The 22,912-nt window shown below is 37.8% G+C and overlaps 1 protein-coding gene across 1 annotated transcript in view; it reads left to right on the top strand.

The window, feature by feature from the left end:
* The window catches only part of UTP20 (UTP20 small subunit processome component), a 106,514-nt gene that overhangs the window by 49,684 nt on the left and 33,918 nt on the right, over positions 1-22,912 (top strand). The window contains exons 28-39 of the mRNA NM_014503.3: positions 3,513-3,656; positions 4,637-4,716; positions 8,263-8,489; positions 9,025-9,169; positions 10,735-10,822; positions 12,658-12,801; positions 12,999-13,049; positions 13,153-13,305; positions 14,807-14,962; positions 15,766-15,906; positions 16,663-16,800; positions 22,267-22,406. Of these exons, the coding sequence (NP_055318.2) occupies positions 3,513-3,656; positions 4,637-4,716; positions 8,263-8,489; positions 9,025-9,169; positions 10,735-10,822; positions 12,658-12,801; positions 12,999-13,049; positions 13,153-13,305; positions 14,807-14,962; positions 15,766-15,906; positions 16,663-16,800; positions 22,267-22,406 (1,607 nt within the window). The remainder of the gene's footprint in view (positions 1-3,512; positions 3,657-4,636; positions 4,717-8,262; positions 8,490-9,024; positions 9,170-10,734; positions 10,823-12,657; positions 12,802-12,998; positions 13,050-13,152; positions 13,306-14,806; positions 14,963-15,765; positions 15,907-16,662; positions 16,801-22,266; positions 22,407-22,912) is intronic.

A 22,912-nucleotide genomic window follows, 5' to 3' on the forward strand; every position in this document is an offset into this window, starting at 1 on the left:
ATGCCAGGAGTTTGAGACCAGCCTGGACAACATAGCAAGACCCCATTTATGCAAAAAAGTAAAAAAATTAGCCAGGTGCGGTAGTGCACACCTGTACTCAGGAGGCTAAAGTGAGAGGATCACTTGATCCCAGGAGATTGAGGCTGTAGTAGGCCAAGATCACACCACTGCATTCCAGCATGGGCAACAGAGTGAGACTCTGCCTCTTAAAAAAAAAAAAAGAAAGAAAAAAAAAGGGACATTAAAATAGTTATTATAAAAACACTCCATATATTAGAGAAAGTAGAAGAAATCATGAGCATGTTAAGGAGAGACATGGAAGATGTGCAAAATTTAATGTAAGACGAGGAAATATAATAGAAAGTGATCAGTGTAGGGGTGGATAGGTGCTGCATTTACTAGGATGGTGAGGGTCCTCTATAAAAAGGTGATCTTTGAGCTTACACCTCACCATGAGAAGAACATTTCAGGCAAAGAAAATGACTAGTGCAAAATCCCTGGTTGGGAATGGTCTTGACATGTTGTAAGAATAGATGAGGCTGTGGTGGCTAGAGCACCAGGAGCAGGAAGAGTCATGTAAGGTGAGGATGAAGAGGTAGGTCGTAGGGGCTCTGTAGGACTTTGTAGGCTATGATGAGGGGGTGAATTTACTTCTAAGGATAATGGAAACTGCTGAGAAGCTCGAAGCAGGTGAGTAATAAGGACTGTGTAGTGTTTTAAAAATATTGCTTTAGTTGCTTTGTGGAAAAGGGACTATAGGAGGCCAAGAATGGAAGCAGAAAAGAGGTCTTAGAAAGTTCTTTCTCTGTTATATGAGAGTGTAATAAGGGCCATGGGAAGAATCAGGTGAGAACCTGTTTATGCTTTGTAGCAAGTGATAGTGACTTTGTCTGTATATGAATATATTAAATTGTGAAAGGTTTGCCTGTGTAGTGCCTTCACATTTTTGGTTAACTTAGGAGTTACTTAGTAATGCAGCCTCACTCCCAAGTCAATAATCAGTAACTCAAAGGATAATTTATACAGTTTCACAGTTCATTAGTTAATGAGATTTTAAGCTTGTTGACAGATAGGAGCTTTCTTATATTTTCCTTTGAAATTCTTGGACCCATCCAAGGAATTCCTTAAAGTGAATTATTGCACAGTAGTTTTGCTTAAGTGAGTTAAAGTTCTACATTTATGTGCTTGAGCTCAGTTATATATTTACTTTTTTGTGTCTTTCCTTTAGGGCATTGATCGGTATTGAAAGATACTTGAAAATTGTTGGTTTTGAGGTTTTTTTGTACATTTAAGCAACAGTGTAACTTGTAAACATACACAAACTCAATCATATTGACTGTTCCTCTAGGAATTAAATTCTATGATTGCTCATTTTCAGGATTTTTCTCTAGTTTATTCAACAATTATTGAGTAAATTGGGCAGCTGGCACTTTAGTTACAGAAATGAATAGAACATGCAGATTGTACCCAATGGGAAGGGTGGTTGGTGGGAATGGGAGATGGATGGGGAGTGTCTATTTGATATCATGTTTGCAGTTGTGAGCTTCATATTTGCTCCATATAATATGTTTTTTCAAATATCAGGGATAATTTTTATCTTTCACTAAACTTGATGCAGCTGATGAAAATATTGCTAGTAGAATTGAAGCAGAGCAGAATGACTTGTAACTACATCACCTTGTGCTTGCTTACCTGTCATTTCCTTTGTAACTTGTATAAGATAATAAGCTGAAAGTAGAACATATGTGAGATACCATGATTCCTGAGGCTTGCTCAGCAAACTAATGACATCCTTGTTCATATTTACTTGAATTTAAAATGTGCTGTATCAGATTCAAATACCTCTGTCTGTCAGATTATCAGATTTTCATGATAAGTAATTTTCCTATTAGTTTTCTTCATGTTATCTTGGCCATAAGACTTGATATTCACTATATGAGAGCATTTGTGTTGTCTTTATAAATTGCAAGGTGGCTTTTAGGTTTTAATGTAGGTAATTAAGGTGATATATAAAAATAAATTATCACTTGTATGTCTAGAGCCCACAGTTTACTAATCAAGTGGGAAAACAATTAGGGGTTGAATCTTCTCCCATTTGTTTTTTTTTTTTTTTAACATTCTGTGCTAGGGAAAAATCCCTTTGAGGCCCTTGTCTTTCCTCTGCTTGGCCTAAAGCTCTTCATTCTTTAATACCCAGTAGAAATCTGCCTATTCCATGAAGCTCTATCCTGAAATTTGTAGTAATTCCTCCTACTGAAATATCTTTGGGCTGGGTGTGGTGGCTCACACCTGCAATCCCAGCACTTTGGGAGTCCGAGGCGGGCAGATCACCTGAGATGGGGAGTTCGAGACCAGCCTGACCAACATGGAGAAACCCCGTCTCTACTGAAAATACAAAATGAACGGGGCGTGGTGGTGCATGCCTGTAATCCCAGCTACTCGGGAGGCTGAGGCAGGAGAATCACTTGAACCCAGGAGGTGGAGGTTGCGGTGAGCCCAGATTGTGCCATTGCACTCCAACCTGGGCAACAAGAGCGAAGCTCCATCTCAAAAAGAAAAAAAAGAAATGTCTTTCGCATTTTCAGTCTCTCACATACATTCAATAAATTTGCCTTTAATAAGATTTTCAGTTGAATTGAGGTCAGGACCTCAATTCATACTAATGGCATGCCACTGGAGCCATTAGTAGGGACTCAATAAATTGTCCTACTCTGAGCCTGAACAAATTGGCTGCGTATTTGTGATTTTATAACTCACAGCGAAGGAGATGCCAGTGGAAGTAGCAATATTTGTTATTTTAAAGGTTTGCTTTTATTTCACACTCATTCCAGCCTCTATGCCTCTAAACAGACAAATCGTATTTCCTCCTAAATTGCATTTTTCTTTGAACTATGTATGTTGAGATCTTCCTATCCCTTGACTCAGTCACATCATCCTCTTGCTGTACAAAGTATTTCACTGTATGGAAAAATCATAAATTCCTTAACTAGTCCCCTAGACTAATTTTAACAAGAATAATTTATAACTTCTAGTCTTAAAAAAGTAAAATATTAAGTATGGAAATAAATAGAAAAATGGCTTTTATTTGAAATGAAGATTTAATTTTTTTCCCCCTAATATAAGGCATTATGTTGGGAAAAAAATTTTAAAAAAAAGTTTTGCTTTGTTTAGAATGTTCTGTTCATGGGAAGAAATCAGGATTTTACTTGAATGAAAAAGTAAAACAATACAGAATACAAAACAACTATTCCAGTTGTAATATTTTTTCTTAAGGATAACTAGTGTGACTACTAGGCAGTGATATTGTTTTAAGACTCTGCTTTCTTTTCTTGTTCAATGAGAAAAGTAAGACAGTTTGCTTGGTTGGTGTTCCCATGTAAATCAAGTCAACAGATTTAGTAACAGGATTTCCAGTTTGATTCTTAGCCACCTGAGCAAGAGTGCCTCTCTGAGGAATCAGGGATAAAAATGATACATATGTATTTTTTGAACAGAAGATCTTTGTTTTACAGATACAGCTGAGATTTATTAATCCATTGAAAAATTTAAGACGTCTTGGAATCAAAATGGTAACTGATATCTTTTTGGACTGGGAATCATATCAGTTTAGAACAGAAGAAATTGATGCTGTGTTTCATGGTGCAGTTTGGCCCCAGGTAAACCTCAATTTCTACATCTGCCTATGTACGTTCTGCTTTTTCCTTTATTACTAACTCACCAACATAGCTACCACCCAGACATGAATGCTTACCTGGGTCTTTCCTTTTACATCGAGCCCTTCTTTCTGGAAGTTTTTAGAACACTTTTCTTTGCCTTCACTACCACCTAAAACTCAAGAGTTAGTTTCTGCTGTACCATGGCATTTACACTTAAGGCTCAGTTGAATATGAATGTGTCTCTTAAGCAACTGTAACATAACTGTTTTTTTGAGATAGAGTCTTGCTTACTGCAACCTCTGCCTCCTGGATTCAAGAAAGAGATTCTCCTGCCTCAGCCTCCCAAGTAGCTGGGATTACAGCCATGCACCACAATGTCCAGCTAATTTTTGTATTTTTAGTAGAGATGGAGTTTCGCCATGTTGGCCAGGCTGGTCTTGAACTCCTGACCTCAGGTGATCCGCCTGCCTTGGCCTCCCAAAGTGCTGGGATTACAGGCGTGAGCCACTGTGCCCGGCCTGTAACATGACTTTTATAGCACCTCACATAGCGTTGCCTCTGGCTTTGGACAAGTGTGAGGGAAAACACCCAGGTGTTTTTATTACATACTTCCTATTTTGATTTCTCTGGTTGTAACCCCTTGGTGATGGTAACTGGTATAGGTATAGACTGAAGGAGAGATTTGATTTTAGGAAATGTTTCTAGGTGTTTGAGGTCCCAGTCATTTCCAACACTCTGAAACCTAAAATACCATTTCCTTTCTGGTGTCTAGCACTTCCATGCATCACCTTTGCCATTTTTCCTATGTAGATGTTCTTTTGGATCTCTTTATACTTTTTCTTATTGTGTCATTTGGATGTTCATCTCTGTCCCTTGTCTTTTTCATCCTGTGCTGTGATTTCTGTACTTGTTAGTTATTTGTGGTTTTTCTATAATTTGGTATATGTATTTGGTATTCTGTTTTTTACTTTGTCTCCTAGATCAGCAGGCTTGGATCTGAGAGTCAATATTCTCCTACTCCTCTGCTGAAACTGATCAGTATCTGGAGCAGAAACGCAAGGTATAACCTTTCTTTTTTCCTTCTTTAAAAAGGGCAGTGTTTTAGATGAATCTGGTTAAAGCAGTCCAGGAAACTAATAGTGTAATTTATGGTCTTTCCATACAGTGAACTACTTTTGGTACAGTTAGAGAATGAGGCAGCTGAGTAAAAGCAAGGAAAGATCTCAAAATACATAGTTTAAAGAAAAATGTAGCCATGCACAGTGGCTCACGCCTGTAATCCCAGTACTTTGGGAGGCAGAGGCAGGATTGCTTGACCTCAGGAATTCGAGACCAGTCTGGACAACGTAGTGAGGGCTTGTCTCTACTGAAAATCAAAAAATTGGCTGGGCATGTGGCGCATGCCTTTAGTTCCAGCTACTTGGAGGCTGAGGTGGGAGGATTGCTTGAGCCAACAAAGTTGAGGCTACAATGAGCCATGATCATGCCACTGCATTCTAGCCTGGGTGAAAGCGAGACCCTGTCTCAAAAAAAAAAAAAAGATAAAAAGATAAATTGCTAGACAGTATATATAGTGTGATCCAGGAAAGTTTGTGTCTATGTGTATAAATATGAAATGAAATAGAAACTGTCCAGAAGGACACATGAGAACTGTTAACAATGTGGCCATAGCACGTGGAGGTTTGGGTAGACCAGAGCAGGGAGAGGAGACTTTTCATAATACATCCTTTGGACTGTTTGAATTTTTTATAATAATTAAACAGGAAAAATAGGTAAAATAACATCTTGCAAAGTAATGAAAATTTTAGAGTATGTATTACAGCTAAAACTAATACTTTTTAATAATTTTTACAGTTTGATTAAAACTTGAAAATTTTAAGTATTAGAATTGATAGAGATGTTCTTCCAATATATGTAATAATTATGTCAGCAGTTTGATTTGGCCTGGCAAAGGGAGAAACAGAATGTGAAACACACCAGATAGTTATATCATCACATAAATATTATCATTTTCTGCATGCTTGCTTAAAAATAAATGCTGACTTGTAATTGGCATTCTATGTCTTTCTCCCAGTTCCCACTGAAAATCAGGAAAACCTCACAAGCTTTCTAGATTTTCTAGACCATTGTCTTCTTTGTGAAACTCCATCTAAATGTACATTCAGCTCTCATGGTCAGAAAAGGTTTTATTATTGATTCAGTGATGTTAAAATCATAGTCTTGGTTTTTACAAGATTGGAATCATACTGTACTGGCTTTTGATTTTGTTTTTTTCATGTATCTTTATGTCATGAACATTTCTTCATGTTACTAGTCTTCAGAAACAAACCAAAAACCGTGACATTGTCTTCCTCAGGAAAACTTGTTTATTTTACTAATAGTATGTTCTCTACATTTATTCCCCAATTTGACACAGCAATTTTATATCTTTATCATTGGACATTTGTAAGCGACACTTCATAGGCTTACTTGAGAAATGTTGTATAGTTTTGTCATTTCTATGCAAATAAGCCATGAAGGACTTTCATCCAGGAAGACTTTACAATAGAGATTCATTTTTATATTCATTGGGTCCTTATTGAAGGTATTGAGCCACATTGTTGGATGCCACTTCATTCTTTTCTGCAATTTCTCATTTTTTGGTTGGGTAAATAGAAGCCATATAGCAATGGAAGAGTTAGGCAGCAGAACCTTTTTTTCCCTTTTATACTTAACACTCACCTGAAGAAATCTATAAAAGTGTTGACTTCCCTTGGAATCCACATAACAATAGATATGCATATGAAGTTGTGTGTGGAAGAACGAATGAATATTTCAGAACCCCTTCAATGGGAATGTTACTTTTTAATTAAAAAAATTTAGATTTTGAAGTGTAGTTGCAGTTTACATAGTATCAATCAGAAATTAAAACAGATTTTTCATCTATAGAGAAGTCTAGCATTTTACTAGCTTATAAGTAAGTTTAAATTTTCTCAGAAATAGCTGAACTCAGGACAGCAAAAACTTATTAATTAGGGTGAACATGTACTTTTTTGTCCAAACTGAAAAACTCCTGAGGTTGAAAAGAGTTGTAATAAGTAAGTCAAAACAGCCAATGTAAGCTGGGACTGTCCCAGACCCCTCTCTTAGCTGCTCTGGTTCTAGTCACCACAGCCCCAGCATAGCAGTCTCTTCTTCCTGCATGCCCTTTCCAGCTCTGTAAGGCCCTGTCATCACATACTGCCTTTGTTGTATTCATCTATCTTCATAACGTATTATCCACAGCTCCTTCAGGGCAAAGACCATGTCTCATTTATTACTCCACAGAGGGTTACACATCTCCATCCATGTGTAGCTGATGATCATTGCATGTTGTCTGAGTGATTGGAATTGCTGATTGAGCCATTCACGTTAGCATGTAGCATGCTCATTGTACTGTGGCAGCAAGTTACGTTGGTCAAGGGAAAACGGTTTGGTCACTGGGAAGTTGCATTGTATCTGAATGGGCTCTTGCTAGGACTTTACTCGCAGTTGAAAGCAGTTCCCTTCCCTTTTCTGCTAGAAAAATTTTAAGACAACAAAACAACATAGTGGTTAAGAGCACAGTTTCTGAAGCCTCACTAACGTAGCTTCAAATCCTAGCACCACTGTGCGTTCTTTTGGTCAAGTTTGCCTCTGAGCCTCAGTTTCATCACCTGTAAAATGGATATAATAACAGACCTACTTCATTGATAATAGAGATGATAATATATAATATAGTGTCTTGTGTAGAGCCTACCCGTACCATGCACAGTATTTGCTGGACAGAAAGATGTATGAATATAACCTCTTAGAACTTTTCTGTCAGTTTGTCAATGCTAAGTATGTTAAAGAGCTCAAGCTCTTTTGTTTTTTTTCCAGTGATGATAAATTGAAAAAGGCAAACTATCTGGATTGTTTCTGTTTGACCTTCCTAGTAATTGTTAGGATTGCATTTCTGACTGAATCAACTGCCGGTTTACCCTTGGCTGGAAAGCCTTTGTCTCTCTGCCCTTGTTGGTGCATTTGCATCAGGAAGGATATTTATAACTTTCATGTGAGTCTTTCATTATTGGGGATGGATTCATCCCTGTCTCCCAACATTGAATGTTCCATATCCTAATCAATAAACGTTTGTTTGGTCTGTACTCCTAACTCCTATGTTCTAGTACATAGGGTTTTACGTGAGTGTATAAACATTCACATTCTTGAAAGCTTATAACTGAAAAGTAGTTTGTTTTCAGTAAGTCTCTTTTAGAAAGAGCTTAGACATTGGAATTAGATTGTGATTCAAATCTCAGCTCTATTATTAGCTCAGTGGCTTCGGACAAATCTGTTTTTTCATCTGTAATGTAGGGATAATGATACGACCACATAGAAACGTTGTGAGAATTAAATGAGAAATATATATAAAGTGCCTAAGTAATATGTTTGTAAGGTAATACTTAGAATTATTATCCATCAAATTTTAGATTTAAACTAATTCCCCTTTGAATAATCTTATTAATGTTGAATATTTGTTAAACTCATGGTGAAAATTCATATGGACATGTTTTTAGAAGTGAACATATTGAGAATAAGATGATTACTACAATGTTTTTTCTTCCAGATATTTCCCTTTGCTGGCTAAACAGAAGCCTGGGCACCCAGAATGTGATATCCTGACCAATGTTTTTGCAATTCTCTCAGCGAAGAATCTTTCTGATGCCACAGCCAGTATTGTAATGGACATAGTTGATGACCTTCTTAACCTTCCAGATTTCGAGCCTACAGAAACAGTTTTGAACTTGCTGGTAACTGGATGTGTATACCCTGGCATAGCAGAAAACATCGGTGGTATGTATGCTGACAAAGCAGATAATTCTTAGACTTCTGCTGTAGCAATTGTTTCCTTAGAAGAGAAAAAAAATCAGTATAATTTGACTCACTCGAGAGCATATGCTCAGAAGTTTCTTTTCCCTGGGAACTAATACTAATTTATATAAACTGAATTTTCTTTGTAGTTATAAGAATAGATTATTTACTCTCCAAGAAGTCTCAACTCTGCTGCAGGAAATTATGAAAATGATTTCTACTGTCATGTCTCTACATTCTTCTTACCATATTATCCCAAATAATTCCCTTACTATTACCAAAAAATGGTTTAAATAAAGCCTCAGGGGTCTCTTAAATAAGTTCTTGATTTAGCTAGTAATATAGCTATTTTGAATAAGAAGAAAGTTGTTTATTTAGAATTTAGAATTTATTTAGAATTGAAATTTAACTTAAATGTTCATAGTGGTTGAGTGCTTTTCTTATCATCATGAAGATTTTGTACAATTATGCCTTAAGAGAGTTTATTAAAATCAAATCAAATCACTATCTATTTCAGAGTCTATCACAATAGGAGGAAGATTAATTCTACCTCATGTACCTGCAATTCTTCAGTATCTCAGCAAAACCACAATAAGCGCAGAAAAGGTGAAAAAGAAAAAGAATAGAGCACAAGTCAGTAAAGAGCTTGGCATTCTTTCAAAGTAAGTGATATGTTGATACTTAAAAGATAACATTACCATCCTTGGTTTTAACTTTTTAAAAAATTATTATCTTGGCCAGGCGTGGTGGCTCACACCTGTAATCCCAGCACTTTGGGAGGCTGAGGTGGGTGGATCACCTGAGGTCAGGGGTTCAAGACCAGCCTGACCAACATGGCAAAACCCCGTCTCTACTAAAAATACAAAAGTTAGCTGGGCGTGGTGGTGGACACCTGTAATCTCAGCTACTCAGGAGACTGAGGCAGGAGAATGGCTTGAACCCAGGAGGCGGAGGTTGCAGTGAGCCGAGATCGCGCCACTGCACTCCAGCCTGGGCGACAGAGTGAGACTCCATCTCAAAAATAAAATAAAATAAAATAAATTTAAAAAAAATTATTATCTTGTTTTTCAGGTGTTGGAATCTGGCAATAAGAAGCTAAAAAGTTTTTTAGTATTTTTGAATGCCCTTTACTTTTAAGTTAATGCAGAATTCCCTTTCTCTGCTGGATTACTTACTAGAAACCGTTCATAGCATCTGCCTTTATTTAATAAAATTAAAGGGGACAGATTTTTCAAAATCCTAAAGTAGACTAATAGATTTGTTTGTTTAGCATTTGTGTATTTTGAGTTTTGTGGAATTGCAGTTTTTTACTCTTTAGTGTAATGATAAAAATAATTAACTTAAAAGAGCAGATTGTTCGGTTTTTTTGAGTCAAGATCTCACAAGGGTTGTTAAAGAGTCTGTTTGGCAGTAGACCTAGGAGTGTATTGTGATTTCGGTAAAGGGAAAGGTTAATAAACCTGAGTGCAAGAAACAATTCTATCTTAATTTTAAGTTGACCATTACAAGGCTTAGTTGTTGAAAATGTATTTTTTCTGTTACTTACAACAGTGTCAACAAAAAGTGATATGTTCGAATCCTCTAGAAACTTCTTTGCAATGCATTTTAAAATACTATTGTATTTCTAAGTTATGCAGAGTGGGAAATCATACTAATACACTCATTAAATTTCATCCCAGGCTATGTAGTAGTAGAAGGATGATGAGAGGAGATTAGGAACCAGAAAGACCAGAGTTTGAAAGACCTGCTGTACTTCTTCTAGCTGTGAGACATCAGTTTCTCTGAGTCTCAGTTTTTTTCAGGGCAAAATCAGGCTGATGATTCCTATATTGCAGGGCTATCATGGGTGTTAAATTGAAATACTGTACATAAACCCTTAAGTCTTGGCACTTAAAAATGTTATTTCTTTTCAAAATAAAACAATTACTAATTACCAGACTGGAGTTCACTCTAACCCACCTATTCACCTGTTCACTCTAACCCACACAATCAGATATTGCAAAAGAAATAGAATAGTGGCCATGAGCTTGATGTTGGAGAGGAGTAAGAGTGAGCACAGCTAAGTAACTGAGGTAAACTTTTTATACATGCACACATACTTAAAAGCTAGCTGTGTATTGGAATGCTAAAACTGTGTCTTTAGTCATTGTTTTTCTACAAAAAGTTTAACTTCTTAGAGAAATATCCTTGTATATGTTCCTTATATATCCGTTTTTTCCTTCTTTAGGATCAGCAAGTTTATGAAAGACAAAGAACAAAGTTCTGTACTCATTACGCTTCTCCTTCCATTCCTCCACCGTGGCAATATTGCTGAGGTACAAACTCATAGGACACTTAACTTTGTCTCTAGAGTGGCACTTTATCACTAGGTTTAATTGCGAGCAGCAATTTTACTGGCTAGATTTTGTGATGCATTTGTCGCAAGGAACTTAAAATACTTTATATAGAAATTAAAAAAATTAGAAATAGAGGGAAAAGACTGGGACAGACACTAGGAATGGGGGCAGGCAAGAAAGCGGAGACATCGTCATCTACAACAACAAAGTACTAGCCCCTTTATTTCCCTTGTTTAGCTTCTGATTCATTTCAGGGGTTTTTCTTTCTCTAACAAGCCTGGAACCCAAGAAGTGCATTGTGTAATCTTTTTTTTTTTTTTTTTTTTTTTTTTTTTTTTTTTTTTTTTTTTTTTTTTTTTTTGAGATGGAGTTTCACTCTTGTCCTCCAGGCTGGTGTGCAATGGCAAAATCTCGGCTCACTGCAACCTCCACCTCCTGGGTTCAAGCAATTCTCCTGCCTCAGCCTCCCAAGTAGCTGGGAATACAGGTGCCTGCCACCACGCCCAGCTAGTTTTTTTGTATTTTCAATAGGGATGGGGTTTCACCGTGTTGGCCAGGCTGGCCTGGAACTCCTGACCTCGGGTGATCTGCCCGCCTCGGCCTCCCAAAGTGCTGGGATTACAGGCATGAGCCACCGCGCCCGGCCTCATTATATAATCTTAATTGTAGATCACAGTGGCAAAACAGAATAAAATCAGACTTTTAATATTCAGACACAGCTAAGTGTTCCTGATATGATTTTCAAACCCTAGTTCAATCTTAATTAGGAGTCCTCCAGTGGCTCAAGCTCATTTGTCAGACCTCAGTAGTGATACTAAACATTTCTCCCCACATAGTTGTTCAATTTAGAAGACCACAGATCTGTAGACAACCAGAAATGTATACAGTTGGCCCTCTGTATTCACATTTCCACATATGTGGATTCAACCAATCATAGATGAAAATATTTGGAGAAATAACAATATAATTATAAAAATGATAGAAACTTTAACTGGCAGGGCACAGTGGCTCACGCCTGTAATCCCCGCACTTTGGGAGGCCAAGGCAGGCAGATCACGAGGTCAGGAGTTCAAGACCAGGGTGGCCAACATAGTGAAACCCTGTTTCTACTAAAAATAAAAAAATTAGCCTGGCATGGTGGCGTATGTCTGTACTCCCAGCTACTTAGGAGGCTGAGGCAGGAGAATCGCTTGAACCCAGGAGGTGGAGGTTGTGGTGAGCTGAGATCATGCCACTGCACTCCAGACTGGACAACAGAGTGAGACTCCATCTCAAAAAATATATAAATAAAATAAAAATAATACAAATTTTAAAAATGCAGTATAACAACTATTTACGTAGCATTTACATTGTATTGGGTATTATAAGTAATCTAGAGGTGACTTAAAATATACAGAAGGGTGTGTGTGGGTGATATGCAAATACCATGCCTTTTTATATAAGGGACTTAAACATCCTTGGAGTTTGGTATTTTTTGGGGTCCTGGAACCAGTCCCCCTTGGATACCGAGGGACGACTGTACTTCAGCAAGCTCATTTTCTTGTATCTTTTTTGATTAGACAATAGAAGAAATTATGTTTCAAAACTACATATATTGCTTATTAGAATTAAAGGAAGAAACTGGTTCACACATTCTTATGGGTTTTACATTAAATTAAAATGCTAAAAACTTTTAAAAGACGATAAAATAATTTTTCCAATTACTACTTTTACATCTTATTCACAATTGTTTTCTATGCTATAATATATTAAAGTATAAGTTGACCAGTTTATAACTTACTGAAATATGATTTCTCTGATTATTTCTTCTCAAGGATACAGAGGTTGATATTCTGGTGACAGTACAAAACTTGTTAAAGCATTGTGTGGACCCTACAAGCTTCCTCAAGCCTATAGCAAAACTTTTCTCAGTTATTAAGAACAAATTGTCAAGAAAATTGCTTTGTACGGTTTTTGAGGTCTGTACTATTCATTTTTACTCCAAATCACCCTTTTAAAAAAATGTAATTATGACTTGTAAACCATATTAGGGGCTTTCTTCATGCCAGGGTGATGTTTTTATATGAATTTGAATGGGGACAGGTAGCTGAGGGGAGGAGGGCAGAAAAGTTAAAGTTTTATTCACTGATAAATACACTGTTTTCTTTCCTTTCAGACTCTTTCTGATTTTGAGAGTGGGTTAAAATATATTACTGATGTTGTCAAGGTAAGAAAGAAGGGTTTCTCTTTGGCTTCAAAAGTATTATCATTTTTGTTTACTGAAGATTTATATGCCTTCTTTTATATAACTTCAATGGCATTTCTTATAGCTTAACGCCTTCGATCAAAGACATCTTGATGATATCAACTTCGACGTTCGCTTTGAGACTTTCCAGACCATCACCTCTTACATTAAAGAAATGCAAATTGTGGATGTTAACTACCTAATTCCAGTTATGCATAATTGTTTCTATAATCTAGAGGTAGGTTATTATAGCAAAATTTTTAAATTATTTTTTATTGTTTTGGTAATACGGCTGCCTAATACAGTGACCTGATCTTTAAATTTGTTTTTTGAGGGGGGACAAAGGTTTTTAGGATTAAATTTCTTTTAGATGAAGAATCTTATGTCTGGCAAAACAGTTATTCTCATGATTTAAAAGGCAAATATTGTGAATAAAATAATACATATGAAAGCATTTTGAAAAAAATCAAGAAGTTATGTATTAGAATAGGGAAATCCATAGAGATGAAGTACATTAGGTCACTAAAGGCTGCAGAAAGGGAGGAATGGGGCGTGATTTCTAATGGGTATAGGGTTTCTTTTGGGAGTGATGAAAATGTTCTGGAATTAGTGGTGATGATCACACAACCTCGTGAATATACTTAAAACCACTGAATTGTAAATTTTTTTTTTGGAGACAGGATCTCGTTCTGTCACCCAGGCTAGAGTGCAGTGATGTGATCTTGGTTCACTGCAGCCTCTGCTGCCAGGTTCAACCAATTCTCCCACCTCAGCCTCCCGAATAGTAGCTGGGATTACAGGGGCACGCCACCACACCCACCTAATTTTTGCATTTTATTAGAGACGAGGTTTCACCATGTTGGCCAGGCTAGTCTCGAACTTCTGACCTCAGGCGATCCGCCCATCTTGGCCTCCCAAAGTGCTGGGATTATAGGTGTGGGCCACCGCACCCAGCCAAATAGTAAGTTTTTTAAAAGGGTGAATTTTATGGTGTGTCAATTATGTCAATTTTTAAACATGCAACTATACTAATTGAAAATTATCCCTTTTTTATTGAAGTTATAAGAGAATTAAAAAGTGTTTGGAATATATTAAGTGCTATGTTGCTGAACTAAATTAAAATCCAAAAATGCAGAAAATGAAACCTTTGATTATTGTTAATCATGTAGTGGCATCAGTGATCTCTTTGTGGCATTTTATAGTTATTCATCTAATATTAAGGATTACGTAATATATGAAAAAATAATCTCCCTGTTTTATACTCATTCTTCATAATCATGCCAAAATTCAGCACAAAAAATTCTAAGTCGCTGCCTGGCTGGCTGAGTCAAGGATACCTTCCCTACACTCACTTTGACATTCTTCAAACCACAAACTCTGGAGCAGCCAATTCTGTCATTTTCAGTAATGACCGGATACTGAATATTGAAAACTGGCTTTAGTGAACCTTTTAGACTGCCTGCTTTGGGAAGTAAAACTAATTAACAAGGACATTTCATAGTGCTGCCTGAAATTAAATGACACTTCTTGGGAAGCGTGGTTTTTCAGCCTTTTACAGTATTATATTCCTCACAGAACATTTGGTTCTCCCTTAGGTTTGAAATATTTGTGGGAACTTGTTTAGTAGGCATTTTTACAAGCACAGTGACAGAATTTTGTAGATGCTTGCACTGGGAAGTAATATTCCATATTGTAGTTATTACAGAGAATAATTTCTTTTTTATTTCTCTTTTTTGCAGTTAGGAGATATGAGTTTAAGTGATAATGCCAGCATGTGCCTGATGAGTATCATCAAAAAGCTAGCTGCCTTGAATGTCACAGAGAAAGACTATAGAGAAATCATCCACCGTTCACTCCTGGAGAAATTGAGAAAAGGTCTGAAGAGCCAGACAGAGGTATATAACTTTGTGTTTTAGGCACTACTGTCTGAGGCTGTGTTTTGTTTTGTTTTCCCACGTTTGCTACTGTTGTATAGAAAAGTAGTCAGGCTTAGTGCATTTAATGAGAATACTTGGTTGAGTAAATAGTCACCAGACTTTTAATGGGAGTGGGTCTAGAAAGGAGAGCACTTTTTTTTGCTTTTTTTTTTTTTTTTTTTTTTTTTTTTTGAGACGGAGTCTCGCTCTGTTGCCCAGGCTGGACTACAGTGGCGTGATCTTGGCTCACTGCAACCTCCGCCTCCCGGGTTCAAGTGATTCTCCTGCCTCAGCCTCCAGAGTAGCCGGGATTACAGGCACATGCCACCACGCCCAGCTAATTTTTGTATTTTTAGTAGAGACGGGGTTTCACCATGTTGGCCAAGCTGGTCCCGAACTCCTGACCTCAAGTGATCCACCTGCCTTGGCCTCCCAAATTGCTGGGATTACAGGTATGAGCACCATGCCTGGCCACCAGTCACTTTGGATCTAATATAGCTGTCAGGTTTTTTTTGTTTTTTGTTTTTGAGACAGGGGCTCACTTTGTTGCCTAGGCTGGAGTACACCACCACACCTGGCTGATTTTTGTATTTTTTGTAGAGACAGGATTTCACCATGTTGTCCAGGCTGTCCTCAAACTCCTGGGCTCAAGCAATCCTGACTTTTTTTTTTAACAGTGGAAATATTTTACTTTTTAAAATTTTATGTTTTTTTCTGTTTCCTCATATTAGAAACAAATTCTTTTTAAAATAAAATGTTTTTTCTCCACTTCATATTTACAGAGTATTCAGCAGGATTATACCACAATACTTTCCTGTTTAATTCAAACCTTTCCAAACCAACTGGAATTCAAAGACTTGGTACAACTTACTCATTACCATGACCCAGAAATGGACTTCTTTGAGAACATGAAGCACATTCAGGTAGAAGACAATTCTGCTTTTTCCTACCTACGACATAAGCATACATATTTCAAACAGTTCTACCTCATTTGGAAAGACATGTTTTAACTTTCCAAAAAGGTTTAAGCTTCTCTTTCCTTGGTCTTTATGATCATCATTGAAATTTGTGTTAAGATGATCATTTCCTGGATTCTAATTTCTTTGGTGGTATCACAAACCACAGTTAATAATAGTGTCGCTTTTCTCTGCCTTTTCCTAAGAAGTGTAAATGCTTTGGGTCCATTGTTAAACAAATGCTATGGATTATATCTCTGAAAGCAAATCAAGGCACAGGTGTTTGCTCTTGTAACACATGGACTGTGTTTCACTTCCTTAATCTTTGTCTTTTTTTTTTTGAGATGGAGTTTCGCTCTTGTTGCCCAGGCTGGAGTGCAATGGCGCAATCTCAGCTCACTGTAACCTCCGCCTCCAGGGTTCAAGTGATTCTCCTGCCTCAGCGTCCTGAGTAGCTGGGATTACAGGCATGCACCACCACACCCAGCTAATTTTGTATTTTAGTAGAGACGGGGTTTTCTCCATGTTGATCAGGCTGGTCTTGAACTCCCGACCTCAGGTGATCTGCCCATCTCGGCCTCCCGAGTGCTAGGATTACAGGCATGAGCCACCGCACCTGGCCACTCCTTTAATCTTTTTATGAAAAGAGAATACGATACTAAAATGGAGCTGGTTGTAGGTGAGATTATTCGGTAACTAATTCATATTTTATCTTACCCATAGATCCACAGAAGAGCAAGAGCCTTGAAGAAACTTGCAAAACAACTAATGGAAGGCAAAGTTGTTCTGTCTTCTAAATCTCTTCAGAATTACATCATGCCTTATGCCATGACTCCAATTTTTGATGAGAAAATGCTCAAGGTAGGTCATTAGATCTAGAAACCAAGGACCCTCTTCCCATACCATGACACACTTTGCCAGAATATACATGGAGTTGGTGGTGTTTGTGTTGATGTCATCACCATAATTAGAGGTTTAGAATAGTTCTAAAGTTCTTAGAACTGTGTCTGACACATAGTAAATGCTATATAAATGGTGGCTATTATTTGTGTTTTTGCTATTATTAGCTCACAAAGGCCGAGCGCAAAATATTCTTCCTCCTAGAAATTATCCCATTATTAAAATTGCATACTTTTATTTTTGTGTCATAGGACTTAAATCTGGTTAACTCCCCTAGTCAGCAGTCATTATTTTTGCAAATGATTTACAAGAAATGAAATGAAATAGTAGGTTATCATTAACACCATACCAGGTACCAGGCACTATTTCAAGTGCTTCATTCTCACAACAACTCAACTCTCTGGAGTAGGGTAGGGACTATTCTTCAACTACTATTTTACAGGAGAGTAATCTGAGAAGAAGTGAGGTTATATAACTTTCTCAGAGACACCCAGAGTCAGAACTGGTATTCCAACTTAGGGCTGTTTTAACCTTTATATTACACAGTGCCTAGAATGGTGCCTGGCACATAGTAAAGACTAGATAAGTAATTATTGATTAAAAAGATTAATGAGGTCAAGTGCAGTGGCTCACACCTGTAATCTCAGCACTTTAGGAGGCCGAGGCAGGTGGATCACTTGAGGTCAGGAGTTTGAGACCAGCCTGGCCAAAATGGCAAAAACCCATGTGCACCAAAGATATAAAAATTAGCCAGGCATGGTGGTGCATGCCTGTAATCCCAGCTACTCGGGAGGCTGAGGCAGGAGGATCATTTGAACCCAGGAGGCAGAGGCTGCAGTGAGCCGAGATTACGCTACTGCACTCCAGCCTGGGCGACAGAGCGAGACTATTTGAAAAAAAAAAGTTTAATGAAAGGTGGTATTAAATGATCATAGAAATTCAAATCTAACTGCAGTAATGTCAGGATTTGTGACTTAAATTTATACTGTTGATTACATGGCCTTATACAATAATAGATTTCCTCTGTTGTTTCAGGATATTCAAAATGTTTAAAAGAATTACCTAAGTAGTTAAAAGATAGCTCCCTTATATTCTAGTTTAAAAGCTAGTAAGCACAACCTAACTGTTTGATGCCATTGAAATATGAATGGTGTGTAGACAGGAAAAAAATAAAGTATACTTAGCTTTGGTTGATGTTCACATGGTATCTCCTTTTTTTGAGATGGAGTCTCACTCTGTCACCTAGGCTGGAGTGCAGTAGCGTGATCTCAGCTCACTGCAACCTCCACCTCCCAGGTTCCAGTGATTCTCCTGCCTCAGCCTCCTGAGTAGCTGGGATTACAGGCACCCGCCACCACACCCAGCTAATTTTTGTATTTTTAGTAAAGATGGGGTTTTGCCATATTCTCCAGGCTGGTCTCTAACTACTGACCTTAGGTGATCTGCCCACCTCAGCCTCCCAAGGTGCTGGGATTACAGGCGTGAGCCACCACGCCCGGCTGGTATATCCTTTTCTAGCCTTATATTTTTAACCTAATTATGACTTTACATTTAAGGTTGGTTTCTTATTGGTAGCTTTTAACTGGGTCTTGTTTTTTATCCAGTCCAACAACCTTTTAACTGGTATGTAGACCATTCACATTTAATATGATTATTTATAAGGTTGTGTTTAGATCTGAGTCTTGTTATTTTCCATTTGACCCAATTTTTTTCTTTTTTTCTCTTTATCTTTTTTCTATTGGATTAATTGTACTTGTTGAGATTTTATTTTATCTCCATTGGCTTATTAGTTATTGAGGGATTTTTGCCATAGGTTTTGCCTCTCCATTCATTTTAAACCACACAGTACATTGTTGTCATTTTCACTTTAAGTAGTCAATTATCTTTTAAGGAGCTCTTTGAAAATAAAGAAAAGGTCTTTTATATTTGCTTACATATTTGTAGTTTCTGGTGCTCTTTTTTTCTTTGTGGAGATCCAGTTATTGATCTGGTATCATTTTTCTTCTTTAAATTATATTTTTAAAATTTCTTATTTATTTGTTGTGGCAGGAAACAAAGGAGGATTTTTTTGTTGTTGTTTCCTTTTTTTGTGTGTATGTGAGTTTTTGGTGGTTTTTTTTTTTTTTTTTTTGGAGAGACAGGGTCTCCTTTGTTGCTCAGGCTGGTCTTAAACACCTGGCCTCAAGCAACCATCCCACCCCAGCCTCCAAAGTACTGAGATTACAGGCATGAGCCACTGTGCCTGGACTTCATTTTATTTCTGAGAAGAGGACTTCCCTTAATTTTTAGTACAGGTCTACTAGTGATTGATTCTTGCAGCTTTTGTTTGTCTTTTCTTGTCTTTGTTTTTGCAAGGTAATGTTGCTGGGTATAGAATTCTAGATTGACAGGTTTATTGTTTTGTTTTTGTTTTTGTTTTTTCCTTCCAGTACTTTAAAGATGGTGCTCAACTGTATTCTGGCTTGTATTATTTCCAATGAGAAGTTATTCTTAACTTTGTTCCCCCAAATGTAATGTGTTTGGGGTTTTTTGTTTTTGTTTTGTTTTGTTTTTTTGTTTTTTGTTGTTATTGTATGGCCTGGCCCTTGTAGACAGTTTCTGGATTTTTTTCATAGTTTTTTCTTAACTGCTTTTAAAAATGCATCTCTTTACCTTTGGTTTTAAGCCATTTGATTGTGAGTACCTTAGTGTCGTTTCTTTTATGATTCTTGTGCTTGGGGTTCATTGACCTTCTTGAATATGTAGATATGTAGTTTGCATCAAACTTGAAAATTTTCTTTTTTTTTCTTTCTTTTTTTTTTTTGAGACAGAATTTCACTCTGTCACCCAGGCTGGAGTGAGAATGTCACTCTGTCACCCAGGCTGCAGTGGCACAATCTCTGCTTACTGCAACCTCTGTCTCTCAGGTTCAAGTGATTCTCCTACCTCAGCCTCTCTGGTAACTGGGACTACAGGCATACGCCTTGACTCTTGACTAATTTTATTATATTTTTGGTAGAGACAGGGTTTCATTATGTTTTCCAGGCTGGTCTCGAACTCCTGACCTCAAGTGATCCACCCACCATGGCCTCCCAAAGTGTTGGGATTACAGGGTTGAGCCACTGTTCCCAGCCAAACTTGGAAATTTTCAAATATTATTTCTTTAAATATTTTTGGGTCCCCTTCTTGCCTTTGGAGACTCCAGTGTACATTATTAGGTCACTTGAAGTTGTTCCATAACTCAGAGACTTTTATATTGTTTTGCTTTGTTTTTTTCATCTTTTTTTTTTCTGGGTTTCATTTTGTTTCATTTTTCTGCTGCTCTGTCTTCAGGTTCACTAATCTTTTCTTCTGCATTGTCTAATCTGCTGTAAATCCCATCCAGTAAATCTTCCCTCTCAGAATTGTCTTTTTTATCTCTAGAAGTTCAATTTCATCTTTTAAAAATATCTTTCATGTCTCTCCTTAACATGCTCATATTTTTCTCTCACTTCTTTTATTTTTCTAAATATTAATGTTTTAACCACTTATAACCATATGAGAATTTTATAAATTATTGCCAAGGCTGCTAGAAAACTTGCACAGTGTCTCGCTCTGTCTCCCAGGCTGGAGTGCAGTGGTATGATCATAGCTCACTGCAGCTTCAAACTCCTGGACTCAAACGATCCTCCTACCTCTGCCTCCCAAGTACCTGGGACTCCAGGTGTACACCACTGCACCTGGCTAATTTTTAATTTATTTTTTGTAGAGATGGGGTTCTCGCTTTGTTGCCCAGGCTAGTCTCAAGTGATCCTCCCACATTGGCCTCCCAAGTAGCTGGGACTACAGGCGAGCATCACCATGCCCAGCTGTAATTTCTTATTAGGTGCCAGACATTATGAATTTTACCTTACTGGGTGTTGGGTACATTTGGATGTCTTTAAGTATTCCTGAGAATTATTCTCAGGTGCAGTTAGGTTACTTATGAATAGTCTAATTCTTTAGAGTCTTGCTTTCAAGCTCTCTTAGGGCAGGAGCAGCCTTTAGTTTATGACTAATATGGCCCTGGTACTGAGACACTACCATTCTAAGTACCTAAATACCCAATGCCCTGTGTAGCATGAGGCATTTCACTCTGGCTGATAGGACTGTGAACTAGCCTCAACCTTATATGGTCTTTGATGATTGTTTTGCCTGTTCCCTTCTGTGGTTCTTTTCCCGTGTCTTCCTTACTCACGCTTACTGCTCAGTACTCAGCCGAAGACTCTAGGGGCTTGCTCTGTGCAGCTTTCCTCTGTGCAGCTCTCCTCTCTGGTGCTGTGCCCCGTGGACTCTAGCTACCGTAGCCTCAAACCTGTCTCCTAACTCAGAAAGACCACTGGGCTCTTTTTGGGTTTCTCTTCCTGTGCTGCAACTTAACAGTTCTCTCCACACAGTAAATTGGGGGTAATTAATAAGCCTCACTTTATTTATTTCTTTTCTCTCAGAGATCACTGGCCTGCAGTGGTTGATATCCAAGATTTGGAAACTGTCGTTTCATGCATTTTTTTTTTTTTTCCAAGACGCAGTCTCACTCTGTCGCCTAGGGTGGGGTGCAGTGGCACAATCTTGGCTCACTGCAACCTCCGCCTCCCGGGATCAAGTGATCCTCCTGCCACAGCCTCCTGAGTAGCTGGGATTACAGGTGCACACCACCATGCCCAGCTAATTTTTGTATTTTTAGTAGAGATGGGGTTTCACCATGTTGGTCAGGCTGGTCTTGAACTCCTGACCTTGTGATCCACCAGCCTCGGCCTCCCAAAGTGCTGGGATTACAGGCGTGTGCCACCGCGCCTGGTCCGTTTCATGTATTTTGCCTGCTTTTCTAGTTTAAGGTCTAAAGGTAAGTCCACTCTCTGTTTTTCATCATGGCCTGAAAGAGGTGTCTCTGAGGCAGTGTACTTTTTTTTTTTTTTTTTTTTTGATAAAAGTTGCAGGGTACATGTGCAGGATGTGCAGGTTTGTTACATAGGTAAACATGTGCCGTGGTGGTTTGCTGTACCTACTAACCCATCACCTAGATATTAAGCCCAGCATGCTTTAGCTATTTTTCCGATGATCTCCCTCCCCTCGACCCCCACCACCGACAATGTACTTTTGAGGGCTGAGTAGCACAATATATAGTTTTTGTCATTTGTCGATTTTTCTACATTGAATTTATTTCATTCGCTTTCTGTAGTCTTGAACCTATCAGGGAGGTCTGAGTGGAAAAGAGTCCAAAATATGTTAATAGCCTTTAAAGAATGATGTCATTCCTTTAAATCTATAGCATGTTTTCCTGGGGTTAGAGGGAAAAAATTAGTATAGTTTGGACATTCTTTCTCTTCTGTAATTACTGAGAACTTACTAACTTTTTCAATATACTGAGTTAGCCTTGCATTTTATTAGCAAATACTTGTTCTGCATTGATGTTCTTGATTTGTTTTACAGCATGAAAATATAACCACTGCTGCCACAGAGATTATTGGAGCCATTTGCAAACATCTCTCTTGGTCAGCGTATATGTATTACTTGAAACATTTCATTCATGTCTTACAAACGGGACAGATCAATCAAAAACTGGGTGTCAGGTGTGGTCAAACTTCTTATTTTTGTTTTGTTTTTTAAATGTAATTTATGGCTGCATAGTATTCCATGGTATATATGTGCCACATTTTCTTAATCCAGTCTATCATTGTTGGACATTTGGGTTGGTTCCAAGTCTTTGCTATTATGGATAATGCCACAATAAACATACGTGTGCATGTGTCTTTATAGCAGCATGATTTATAGTCCTTTGGGTATATACCCAGTAATGGGATGGCTGGGTCAAATGGTATTTCTAGTTCTAGATCCCTGAGGAATCGCCACACTGACTTCCAAAAATGATGAGTTCATGTCCTTTGTATGGACATGGATGAAATTGGAAATCATCATTCTCAGTAAACTATCGCAAGAACAAAAAACCAAACACCGCATATTCTCACTCATAGGTGGGAATTGAACAATGAGAACACATGGACACAGGAAGGGGAACATCACACTCTGGGGACTGTTGTGGGGTGGGGGGAGTGGGGAGGATAGCATTGGGAGATAT

Source organism: Homo sapiens, chromosome 12, assembly GCF_000001405.40.
Source record: "Homo sapiens chromosome 12, GRCh38.p14 Primary Assembly".
NCBI classification, from domain to species: Eukaryota; Metazoa; Chordata; class Mammalia; order Primates; family Hominidae; genus Homo; species Homo sapiens.